Here is a 13164-nt window from a genome sequence, read left to right as displayed (position 1 = left end):
GCACACTGGATTCTACAATAGCTTCTCTTTTCAGCATGTTGGACCTGCCCACATTAACTTCCCCATTGTCTTGATTTCCCCAAGTTACAAACTCTATAGGCTGTGCCACTGCTGTCTGCAGCTCCCATGGCACCGATTCCAGGGCCTCGCACTTAGTAGACACACAGTAAACACTGCCGACTTAACAAGTGAGTTCATAATGTGACCGCTAAGCTAGCTCTCGGAAAGGATGTAGTGGGGAGGCCAGAATGGACACTGAGAGACCCCAGTCAGAGTCAAGGCCCTGCCACATCTAGCAAGGTACCACCTCCACCAGCTTCACTTTCCCTGTCTCAAAGATGGGGTAATGTGGGAGGGACGCTATCACCGGTGAAAGTTCTTTCAAATGCATGGTGCCACTCGAGCCACATGATGACCCAGTGATGTGGTGGTTAATTCCAAGTTCCTGTCCCACCAGCAGGGGTATGGCATGATCTGCTCACCTACCCTCACCTATGCTGAACAGGACTTGGGAAAAACACTCAATATTTTAAGAGTGTGTTGGCCGGGCACCGTGGCTCAAGCCTGTAATCCCAGCACTTTGGGAGGCTGAGGCAGGCAGATCACGAGGTCAGGAGATCAAGACCATCCTGGCTAACACGGTGAAACCCCGTCTCTACTAAAAATACAAAAAATTAGCCGGGCGTGGTGGCGGGCGCCTGTAGTCCCAGCAACTCGGGAGGCTGAGGCAGGAGAATGGCGTGAACCTGGGAGGCAGAGCTTGTAGTGAGCCGAGATCGTGCCACTGCAGTCCAGCCTGGGTGACTGAGCGAGACTCCGTCTCAAAGAAAAAGAAAAAAAAGAGTGTGTTGCTTGTTTTTTTACTGGTGTTTTAGTGTTTTCCCATAGACTTGTTTGTATTCTTTATATATTGTGGATATAAACCCCCTGTGTATCATACGTTGTTGGGATGCTCGTTAATCTTATAGAAAATTCTCATATTTGTAAATAAAATAATGTAGATGATATTTGTATTAACAATTTTTTAAAAATTATAAAAGCAATACGTACTCAAAGTTAAACAAAAGAAACTAAACAAAACACACCCATTTAAGCTGTATAGAAGGTGGAAGTGGGAAAAGCCCACCTCCCCACCTCTGACTTCCCAGTCTCACTTTATGGAGGTGGTTATTTTGAATAGTTTTTGTGTTTCTTTCCAGAAATTTAGATGTTCTCCATATTTATGTGGACCAATCTGCCACTTAGTTCTTTTGTGATTTCTTTAATTATTTTTGATGTTTTCTACATCTTTTCCCATTCTGAAATCAGTATTTCATTCCTACTTATAGGGTGGTTTTCTTTTAAAAAATATTTAACTCTTTAATCAATCTGACACTTAACTATGGTGGAAAGATGGGATGATATATGAGAATCTAATTTGATGATTTCCCCAAAATACTTATCCTATCTCAGAACCATTTGTTAAAAAAAAAAAAAAAAAAGGCAACCTTCCTTCCTTTCTCCACTACTCTGTGGTAAGGGATTGTTGCACTGTCATGATTCCATGGTCTTATCTCTGCTTAAGGAGCTCTCAGACTCTAAGGAAGAGATGCGCTGTCCATCTACCATGAAATATTAACCTATTGCGTACCAGGCACTGAGTTCAGGGGTGCAGAGACCCCAGTGGACCGAAACCTCAACAGACTGACCATCATCCTAGATCAGCACTTCCACCACACAGAGCTGGGTGACCTTGGGCAGGTCCCCTGCCCTCCACGACTCAGCCTTGCTGTAGAACTCAAGCTGCACGTGTGAGAGGCCAGGCAGCCAAGGGTCAGACACTGGGGCTCGCCTCCTCACCTGAACCCCCTCCCAGCCCTGGTGCAGCCAGCTACAGGAGGCCAGAGAGACATGTTAGGCTGAGGGGCAAAGTGGGGCACTGGCCCCAGGTGGGGCAGAAGATGACCCTACAGTCAAGTACGAAGGGCAGGAAGCAGATTTCTAAATAGTAGGCGAGAGAACAAGGCCCTTGGTGTATATACTAGCTCTGTGACTGGGGCAAGTCACTTATCCATCCTGGAATACGTCTTTACCATACGAGGTGGCACTGAGACCTGAATGAGATGCCGGTAGTGGTGGGGGATTGGCTTTGCAGCCTGAGAGAGACTCTGACTACATTTGCTATTCTCCTAGCTTCTTGGTGGCCCACTCTTTGACCCTTCGGTAGTGGGAGGCCAACAAACAGCCTATCTATCTCCTCCTGGGGCCCTGCAAGGTGGGCAGACAAACATAAACTAGCCTGGCAGGTTAGAGGGCTCTCAGGGTTTGGTGGAGAGCTGGCAGGGCCCAGGGAAATGCTCACCTGTAGCAGTTGTTGTTATAATTGTTATAACTTCCCAGAGCGGTCAGACAGCCCAGGCAAATGGCATAGGAGAAAAAGATCTGCGTTCCAGCATCTACCCAGACCTGTAGGAAGGCACAAAGATGTTGGCATAAACAGAAGTCAGATGTGTGGTGAGAGGGTAGCCCTGGTCTCTGAAATCCCCCACCCACACTCTACCCTTCAGAAAAACTCCATAAGGGATAATTAAACTTCCTAACCTACCCAGGACCCCCTTTAAAAGAGTTCTATTCTTGGGGACCACATGATCAAGTGTAAATGTCCTCAATTAATTCCAGAATTTGCCAGAGTTTATGAATAATAGCTCAGTGAATAGCAAGAATTTGAATGCTTAGGACCCCGGCCTCAGCTGTGTGACCCTGGACAAGTTACTTAACCTCTCTGAGGCTGTTTCCTTATCAGCAAAGTAGGGAAGAAACTTCCCTACCAGGACTGTTGCAAGGATTCATGCAACAAGGACCATGAGCCCCTGGGATCTAGTGCCTGCTTGCAAGGTAAGTCATGTTTAAGGTAAAATGAATGCTTCCTTTTCCTTGTGATTAAGGCCACCATGAGAAAAGTGTCATAAGATTCTGTCCAGGGTGATACATTTGCATAGCTGACCTCAGCATAAAAGGTGGCAGGGAGGGGAGGAGTGAGGGAGGCCCACCATGTCCTTCTCCCTTTCAGAACAGACTCCCCCCCTCTAGGCTTCCTATGTGGTACACAAGATAACTACTTTCCTAGTCCCCAAGCTCCCTTTTGATAAAAACTGCTGTGGACAGCATGACATGCACAACAGAAATGACAGTGGCTTCTCGAACACTTTCCCCGGGCTCCCTTTGAGCCCAGCCCCTAGAAGTTGCCAAGGAAAATCCAGAGCTCAAATCAAAATGCAGCTGATGAGACTCATGCTTAGGTATCAAATGCCATCTGGAGAACAGGGCTGGCACTAAATATATAAAACAGGAAACACTTACTGACCTCTCAATGTACAGGCAGCACGCATTACTGCCCTTCATGCATTACTGAATATTCACGGCAACCCGGCCGGGCATGGTGGGTGGCTCATGCCTGTAATCCCAGCACTTTGGGAAGCTGAGGTGGGTGGATCACCTGAGGTCAGGAGGGGGTGAGAGCAGCCTGGCCAACATGGCGAAACCCTGTCTGTACTAAAAATACAAAAATTAGCCAGGTGTGGTGGCGGGGGCCTGTAATCCCAGCTACGTGGGAGGCTGAGGCACGAGAATTGCTTGAACTGGGAGGTGAAGGTTACAGTGAGCCCAGATCACACCACTTCACTCCAGCCTTTGTGATGGAGCAAGACTCTGTCTCAAAAAAAAAAAAAAAAAAAAATTCACAGCAACCCTATGTGGTAGGTGCTATTATTGGCCCCCTCTTACAGCTGAGGAGACTGAGGAACAGAGAGGTTGAGTAATGTGCCCAAACCACACAGCTGGAAAGTGGCAGATGCAAGTCCATGGAGGACTGCCTCTAGAGATGTATGCCCACTCAGTCCCAGAATTTCCAATGTGGAATCAGCCTCAGAAGGCCTGTGGTGTAACCTCTCACTCAACACAGGACTCTCTTCTGAGTACTTCTGACAGAATAGTCTCTGCTTGCTTACCACCAGTGACCGGAAGCTCACTATCTTCTGACCCAGACCCTTTCTTCTTCAGAGAGCTCTGACTATTAGAACATTTTTAAAGATGAGATGAACTCTCTCTTCCTGTTTTCCTCGTTCTGGGGGCACGCAGGCCACATCCCTCTCCTCCATGTGGTAGCATTTTAAAGATTAAAAGAAAATACTCATGCCCACTGGACCCCAGAACTCTTTCCTTTCCAGGCAAAGTATCTGTATCTCCTCCCTCTTCAGAACTGGATTACATGGTACAAGTCATTCTATCGTGGGTCTGCCCAACTGTGTTAAGTCATTCAACAAATTGCCTATTAAAATGGAAGATCATAATGCCGCCTCTGAACCTGAGAAATAAGTGTATTTTTTTCTCCTCTAACAATAGTATCACTGGGTTTAGGGTCTTGGAGCTCTGTGAGGAACTTAAGGAGAGCTTTTTCATGAAGTGCAGGGGCAGGGAGAGGCAGGTAATGCCAGTAGACCAGAGTGCACTGAGATGGGGTAGGAGAAACTGGAAAGAGGAAAGACAAGAACAAACTCCAGACATTTCGATGTGTGGGGGGTATGAGATAGGCTGGTAGTAAAAGGGTAAATACAATTTGGGGGAGGTTTTTGGAAATGGTAGAAGCTTAAGGATGCTTAAATGTTGGTAGGAAAGGTCCAGTGGAGAAAAAAGTGTTAAAGACTTGAGAAGAAGTGGTTGTATTTTTAATTCCTCCCGCTTTGTCTCAGTTTCCCCATTTGCTACCTCAGTGGATTGCCTGTTCTGCTTAGTAAGGCCAGTGAGCCACATGGCGAAGCAAAAAGCAGTGCAGCTGCTGACCCAGGAAATGGGAGGCCAAATCCCAGTGGCAACTTAGAGCTACTCAGTGCCTGACCAGACACTGGGCCTCCAGTCACACTTGTTAATGGTGCCACAAACCAGGTGTCCCTCTTTCACTGTTCTGGGCCAGAGTGTGCAGGCCAGAGTGAGCAAAGCCCTCAGAGTTGTGGGAGAGCTGGCTCCCCAATCCTGACTGAACCCCGTCACTCAGTGGAGTGGACCCTCCCCCTAACATGGTGAATAAACGCTCTATGAGTTAGAAAACACCAAAGAAAGCTTTCGACCCACAAGCCCCAGATACGTCCCCCAAACCAATGATTTTCACTTGCAGGTATTTTTTTTTTCCAATTTGCTCTTTGGGCACATCAACGCTGAAATGGACATCTGCTGTTTTTGCCTACTTAGCATCCATCTTTCCTTTTTCGGTAACAGCACCTCAATTTTACTTTGGAAAGCTACCTCTTCTCTGCTCAGAGGTAGATTCAGGGCTGGCCACATGACCCAGACCTGGCCAATCCAAGGATTTTTCTTGGCTACAGTGACTGGTTCATGGATGAGCATATGATGCAAGGCAAGTCAATGGGACACTTTTTTTTTTTTTTTTTTTGCTGGGGATGTTAAGCTTGTAACTGCTGGGGGCATCACTGGCCATGAAGGAAGAGTCTACCTGAGAATTAAGGCCAACACACAGGAAAGCAGAGTCTAGAGCAAAGGCAGACCAATATTAGCACATGACTCCCTGGATCAGACCTGAAATCAGACCTATCCTAGAACATTTCATTTCAGAGGCCTATAAATTCCTCTTTTATTTAAGTCACATTGGATTGAATTGTTTTCACTTCAAACTCAAGCTAATAGCAACATTTAGCTCTTAGAAAAACCCAGAGGGTATGAGCCCAAATCCTTTAATCAATCCCAAATTACTGATGGACCAGCATTCACTGAGTGCCTTCACCTGTATACTGTGCAGAACCCTGTGTCACACTCTGAAAGAGTACCACTCAATTTTACATAGCACTCCATCTCTGTCCTCAGGTGAGATAAAACATTCACAAAACAAGGTGCCCAGTAGCTGGGAGAGACAGATGGGGGGAAAGAGAAACTTGTGCTAAGGCAATCAGAGAAGGCTGCCTGGAGGAGGCACACCTTTTGAGATTGGAGAAGAGATGAAAGAGGGCATGTTGGGCTTAAAGATTCACATGAATCTTTAAGGGTATGTTCTCAAATGATTTTTCCATCTTGCTCTCCTACCTCTATGGGGAAAAGTCTGTCATTTTTATTCTGATGTTCACCATTAAACCAGCACCTTTACACAATACGCTTAATCCTCCCCTTTTCTGACAGTCTGTTGGTTCTCTGCTGTGAGGAATACTGAAATTAGCTACAGCCTCCATTTGTCTTCCCTCCCTACCCACTAGCATCCAATTTGAAGAAATATCCATTTGCTTCCAGTTAATACTTACAAGTCAATCTGTAAACTTTTTATACTTTTCATATATATGTTATTATATTCAAATTTTTAGTACACTGTATAGATTATCAGAACATACAACCATCACATAATAGCCTTTACTGATTGACTGAATGAGATGGGATCTTGCTATGTTGCCAAGGCTGGAGTGCAGTGGTGTGATCATGGCTCACTGCAGCCTTGAAATCTAGAGTTCACATGATCCTTCTGCCTCAGCCTCCTGAGTAGCTGTGACTACAGGCATGCACCAGCATGCCAGGCTCCTTATAGTCATTACTTAATGTGAATTTGATAGGTAACTATGAATTTAACAATCACCCCCAGCCCTTATGTTAATACCTTTCCAGTCAATTTTGTTATCTGTAGAATGTTTTCCAGTAAATTCCTCTGGAAAGTCTCATAGGAAATAATATTAGCTGAGTTCTTGCATGTTTAGAATAGTTGATCCGTGACTTTCATACTCGAAAGGCAATTTGGCTGTATATAAAATCCTTGGCTCTCTTTTTCTTTTCCTGAGTATCTGGAATATATTGCTTAGTTGCCTTCTGGCACAAAGTGCTGTGGTAGAAAGGTCTGGTGCCAATATAACTTGCTTCCCCTTATAAAGCACTTATTCTTTTGGTTTGGATGTCCAACAGGTTTTGTTCTACACTTTATTAAAGTCCAACAGTGACTAATCTGTGTTGATTTTCTCAGGCTCATGGTATATTTTTTCAGGATGCAAGTGCAATTCTTCTCTTTCAGGAGAAAAAAGATCCCAAAATTATTGCTGTATTTATTCTCTTCCATTGCTTTGGGTCTCTTCTTTGGGGACTCGTATGTATGTTGGACCTTCTTTGCTCACCTTCTATACCTATCACTTTTTCTTTCATTCTTTAAAAAGTCTTTGTTCTTTTCTGACTTTATTTTTACATTTTTCCTCCTTTCCATCTTCTGTTTGCTTTGTCATATCATCCATGGTCTGTATTCACTGTTATTCCTTCATTTTAGTTACTTTTTCTGAAATAGTTTTTCTTTTGTAAGTTGTCCTTCCTGTCAGCTCTCTTTTTAAATAGTATTTTTGTCTGACAATTTCATGTATGCTATTTGCCTCATAGTGTCTATTGGTTTATTATTTTCCTTTAGCTTGTTTTGAAATATTAACTTTCAGTGCTGCACTGTTTTGTGGTTCTGTCTTTGTGCAATGCCTTGGGACAATATTCTCCCCATAATTATTTTCCTTATCACAGCTTTGCATAAGTTTTGATCACAGTCCTCTTCTGTTGCTCACGTTTAGGTGAGATAGATTTTCCTGTACTCTTAGGAGAGGATTTTCTTGCGTAGAGGAATGAGAGTGGTCCAGGATAGATTTTTCTAGACTTGCAGTCTGAACTTTCCTTATTCTTTTATTGCCAAAAACTCTTTAAAACTATGGCCATACAGATAGTACTTTCTGAAATTATTGTTCTCTATTCTTTTCTCCCACTCTTATCCAAAATTTCTCCTTTCATTTCCTCTAGTGTCTCTGTCCTGCTCAATTTGGAGTCTGCTTCCCGTAATTTCTCCTTAATATCCATGAAGCCTCAACTGGTTAGTGCGTAGTGTTCACAGGGCCCAGACCTCTGCCCAAATTTGCTGCAGTCCTCCCCCACTTACCTAGGGGTTAGAGACTGCATAGACCCCCTCCTCATTTGAGGTGATGTTCTCAGATAGGTCCACTAAGCTTCTACCCCCAAAGAGAGTCCTCTCCCAGTACATGTTAGAGCTTTATGGGTTTCCTGGTGCTGGATCTTCAGAATTCCCTTTGCCTTTATGTTCATCTTCATCTTATCCTACAGAACTGACATCATGCAGATGTCACTGCTGTTGGCATCTGGCCCCATCTATTCACATTTTGTGGTTCATGGTGATACCTAATTGTGCTGAAGGTGCTGTCCATAGGGTTTTTGTTTTACTACCCTTGTTTCTCGTTTGGGTGAGAAGATTCCAGGAAGTTAAAATAATTTTTTTTTCTGTTGCCACCTTATCTTCTTGATTCTCAAGAAATCTTTAAAGGGCAAGTTATACAAGATTGATCTTGGCTGGAGGTGAGAGACGAATACCCAGATCTGAGCAATATGGTGGGTGAGGGTGCAACACTAGATGATCCAGGTTTTCTAAGGGTGGTTGAAGGTATAAAGTGGGGAAATGGGTATTAATTTGGAGAAGGGAAGTTTGAGACATCAAGTGAGATGTTCAAGAGATACATGGAAAGTCTAGGGCTACATATCGATGTCTGGGCTAGAGACATATATTTGATCATCATCAGGATTTTAGCAGTAACTTAACATCTCCCTGACTCCAGATCTAAAATTTTCTTCCCTGGCCTCTTCTATTTTTCACAATTGAAAAACCAATGTTGAGATCAGCTTTTCTGCTGAGACACATGCTCATTTGGGCATAGCAGAGCCTGAGAATGTACAGGATTAGATTTCTTGAAAACATCCCATGAAGAACCATGGGATGTCTTTACATGGAGTCTGCAACATTAGGCTCTTTACAGAAAGCATAACTGATATATGTTTGTTTCTTAAACAGATGCCTGTGGTTGTGAAAATGCAACATGGCTCCAAATGTCATCCTTGCCTCTCAGTCTAGAAAGGAACTAATGAACTCATCAGTGAGGTGGTGTATTTGTTAAGATAATTACTGCTAGGTTACTCTGTATTAAACAATAAACCCACAAATTTCAGTATTTTAGCACAATAAAAGTTTATTTCTCACCCACACAAAGATTAAAGCATAGCCCCTGTGAAGGGGCTCTCTTGCACCCAATGATTTGTGATATTAAGTGTTTTTCCTTTATGACACCACCACCTCTCAACACAAGCTTCCAGCACAGCCTCTGAGGCAGAGAAACTGGAGGTTTGCTTGGGAAGGTTTTAAGGATTAGGCCTGAGGGTTGCCTTCACTCCCAAATACATATCATTGGCCACACCCAAGTGACTTGGTTGCAAACTAAAGACAAGGAACTCTGGGGAATGTCATCTTCCCATTTACTCAAGAAGAGAAAAAATAAATGACATGAACACAGCATTATCTCTGCCAAAGCATTATCCCAAGTCTATTTCACCTACAGCTACTTTCTTCAACTAAAAATTCCACAAGCACAGACAAACAAAATCATGGTGGGCATTAGAATGATTTGACGAAAGGGGAAAGAAAGTCTAGTAAAATAAGCTAACAGAACATTCATGAACCAGCCCTTCCGTGGGTTTGGTAATGCCTTAAGAAGTGAAAACCTTGAGTTAATGTTTGCTGAAACCTAGTGCGTACTACAGGCTCTCATGTACACAATCTCATAATTTGCTAATGATCTTACTAGGTAAGTATTATTGTCTCCATTTTTTCAGAAGTGGAAATAGGCTCCTGAAAAGTCAAACAGCTTATACGGGAGAGAGTCGGGTTTGAACCTAGAGCGTTCTGGCTCTATACTTTACAGAGAAAAGCTAGGACCTCCTGGTCTGCTGAGTAGGCCTGTAGTCTCAGCTGGGATTTAAACAGCTCTGCAGCTGTCAAGTCAAACAGAACAAAGGCAACCCCACCTCAATGAAAGGAAGACCAGGCAACTGAGCCCTACTGACCAGCATCTCCCAGGACGCTACAAAGGGAGCAGCTCAGCAGAGAAAGGGCTTCCTATTTCTCGACACAATTTGAAGGGAAAACAGTCTCAACAAAACAAACCCTAAGGAAGCTGGGTCAGTAGCTGAGAAAGGGATCACTCCCCATGTTCTGCAGCAATGAATGGGGGGCGTTCTGGCAGTGCAGCTGTGGGCGGTCCACATTCAGAGGTTTGGAGGACAGATTTGCATGGGAACAGGGGAGTGGGGCCCCTTTAGAAGAGAGGTGGTCCCACCTCCAGCTCTGGGGCAACCTCACCTCTTTCAAGGCCACTGGTTCCAGTGAGCCCTGGTGCACAGTAGGTACAGAGAACAATGAATAATGGCATAGCCCACCTTCCCAGCTATGACCACAGGGCTGCACAGAGTAGCTCCTTGATGACATTTGCTGGGAGAAGCAAGAAAGGATGGATGGACAAGGACAAATTTTCCCCACCCACACTTTAGCTACAGTCATCATGATGGATACTCAGCACACGCTGTCCCAGTCCACATGGATAGCACTTTACAGTTTACAATACTGTATGTCCTATGACCTGTGTGTTCCACACACTGCCCTGAGGTGAGCATCATCATCCCCAGGTTAGACACAGGTAGGTTGCTGGAAACATGCTCACCTTTTCTCCACATTCCTACCTTGATCATGCAAGTAGAATGTCTAATTTCTTAGATGTTTGGGGGAGAAAGCTTTACTTCTTTTTCCTACCTCTTGGAGTGACTTATCCAATTGGGGAGACTGGGGAGATGGTCATTGTGCATATGTGGGCAGCATGTCTCTCTCACACACAGAAGTTGAAATAACATTTGTGAAACAAACCTTCAGTACCGTCCTGGCTCTTGGAGAGCATTGAGAAATACTCTGGAGAGTATTCAGAAACCCAGCCAGAAGCCCTCATGAGCAGCAGGTGCTTAGTCAACGTTCATTCCCTCCCAGGATATTCCAGTACTCAAAAACCTGGAGGAAACAAAAAAGCCTATTCCCTCTTCCCCGCACCATAAGCATGCATTTAGTGTCTACCATGTGCCAGGCACAAGTCCCAGGAATGGAGGCTGAAGCTGTCACTAAATGTTACAGAGCTCCTACCCTTAAGGAGCTTACACTTTAGCGGGAGACACAGACAACAAGCAAAGGCAGATAAGCTCTCATACAACATCTGGCAGAGAGGAGCAACTTGTGGGGAGGGGTATGGGAGATGAGTTCAGTGTGGCAGTGAGTTCAGTGGCAGTAGGGGCCAGGGTCCCGCCTACCCATGAAGGTACAGATGCTGCTCTGGGATTTTATACAGCATTTATGGCAACACAGCTTACAGAAAAAAGCTACCCTAGAAATGTGCTTTCAAATCTGCAAAGAGAGCCTCCAATCAGAACAGAAGGGCATGCCTCTGCTTGTCACCAAAGCCAGCATCAGCTGACCGACCAATTAAATCCATCTCTATGTCCTCGAATTGGCTTGTGTTTGCTGTGGTAATGCCTTAGGTCTTTGACAAATGCAGCATTAACCCATCCTGCCACGAAAGCACCAGTAAGAGGGTGTATGATGATAGTCATGCTGATGATCACAATGACACCAACTAACTTTTATTAGTACCTATGACATACCAGATGGAAAGTGCTTTACAGGTATTAAACTCACCTCGTCCACACGGTTAAGGTGGGTGCCATTGTTATTTATTATCTCCCTTTTATAGATGAATAAACTAACACCCAGGGAGAGGAAGTCACTTGTCCATTTACTTTAGAGAAATGTACACACTGGCCAGCGTGAGGAGTCACTTTGGGCTTACGAACAAATGAATCTCCTAATTGCCCCAGGAATCTGGCCCACTTGGAAGAAGGCACTGAAACACCAAGCAAAAGGGGCCTAAGTTAAACAAGATAGCTCTAGCCAGGCTCCATGCTTTGAGCCTTGCAGGAGCTTAATGAAAAGGGCAAAAACTTTGGGGTCAGCAGACCCAGCTTGGAGCTCTGCTCTTTCGCTTACTGCTATGCAACCCTGGGCAAATTACTTCACCTCTTTGAACCTCAACTTCCTTGCCTGTGAAAGAAAGACATAATGAATGTAAAGTGTGTAGTGGAGTACCTGGTACCATCCCTTTAATCTGGTTTCTTTTGGTGGCTGACGATTCTCAACTATACTATGCAAACAAGCACCCACGTCATTTCCAACATCCCAGCTTCCCTTCCCATCAGGTGAACTAAATCAGATTTCTGAGAAGCACCAAATGCTGAACTGCCCATCACTAAAGCAGATACACATGCCTCTTAGGGCTACCAGCTTGGGTCCAACAGAGATGGATGGGAAGAACCAACACTTCATCCCTCCTAGGCTCCTTGCTGTTCCAGCGCCTGGCCAAGAAGATGTGTGAAAACCGTCAGACCCAACAGTACATGGGGTATGGGCTTTTGGATCCAAGAAGCCAGATCAGAGCTTGGGGCCCTCCTGGGGCTTCCAACCCACAGCCTTTTCTTTCTTCTACATTTTCTTTCAAACAGACAGCTACCACACACACACACACACACAGACCCACACACACACAGACACACGCACACACAACTTTTGTAAGCAGAGCCTTGGCTTGAGGCAAAAATACAACTTATATGGCCTGGCAGAAAATGGCTGAATTAAGCTCTTTCTTTTTGCCTTTTATATTGGTAAGGATTCTCAAAAGATTAAAAGTAGGTTAGGAGAATAATAAAACAGCTGTGTTTCCAGTGTGTACCTGACAACGGCTTTTGTAGAAGTGAATGATTACATGAAAATCACTTCCTTCCCACCTCTTTCTCAGCCTCCTCTGGGTTGCTAGGCGCCCTTGCTCCTTCTTTCGGCTAATGCCACATACAGAAGCTGATGAATACAGTATGGCCATTATGAGGAAAGGGGAGTCTGGGAGAGGGATTCAAATGCTCCCTCCCTGGTGGATTCCATGGTGGGAGAGGGCTTTGGTGGAGACGACTTTGGAGATATTTAAATGCTAATGTGCTGGGCAGGCAGGCAGGGCCAGTGGGAACAGTGGTGGGAAGGGGCTGAGGCTCTTGGCCTGTAAGCCCAACTGGAAATATGTTCTGCAGCCTCTCGCTCTGGTGCCAAACCCTTCCCTGGGCAGCCGGCCCTGGGGCCAACCAGGGCCCTGCCAGTAAAGTGTCACTGGGCTAAAGGGTTGCGCTGCGGGCGGTGAGGAGCCGTTCAATCCTGTGCAGGGGGAGTTTGGGTGTGTAGGCCGACCCCGGTGGCCCCTT

At 45.0% G+C, this 13164-nt stretch overlaps 1 protein-coding gene across 3 annotated transcripts in view; it reads right to left on the bottom strand.

The window, feature by feature from the left end:
- Nucleotides 1–13164, bottom strand: part of SLC6A11 (solute carrier family 6 member 11) — a 124487-nt gene that overhangs the window by 26180 nt on the left and 85143 nt on the right. For all 3 annotated transcript variants that reach the window (NM_014229.3, XM_011534033.3, XM_047448764.1), the window contains one exon: nt 2342–2445. In NM_014229.3, coding sequence (NP_055044.1) covers nt 2342–2445 — 104 coding nt within the window. The remainder of the gene's footprint in view (nt 1–2341; nt 2446–13164) is intronic.

This window comes from Homo sapiens, chromosome 3 (assembly GCF_000001405.40).
Source record: "Homo sapiens chromosome 3, GRCh38.p14 Primary Assembly".
Classification (NCBI taxonomy): domain Eukaryota; kingdom Metazoa; phylum Chordata; class Mammalia; order Primates; family Hominidae; genus Homo; species Homo sapiens.
Note: the sequence above shows the minus strand (reverse complement) of the source record. Positions and strands in the feature narration are given on the sequence as shown.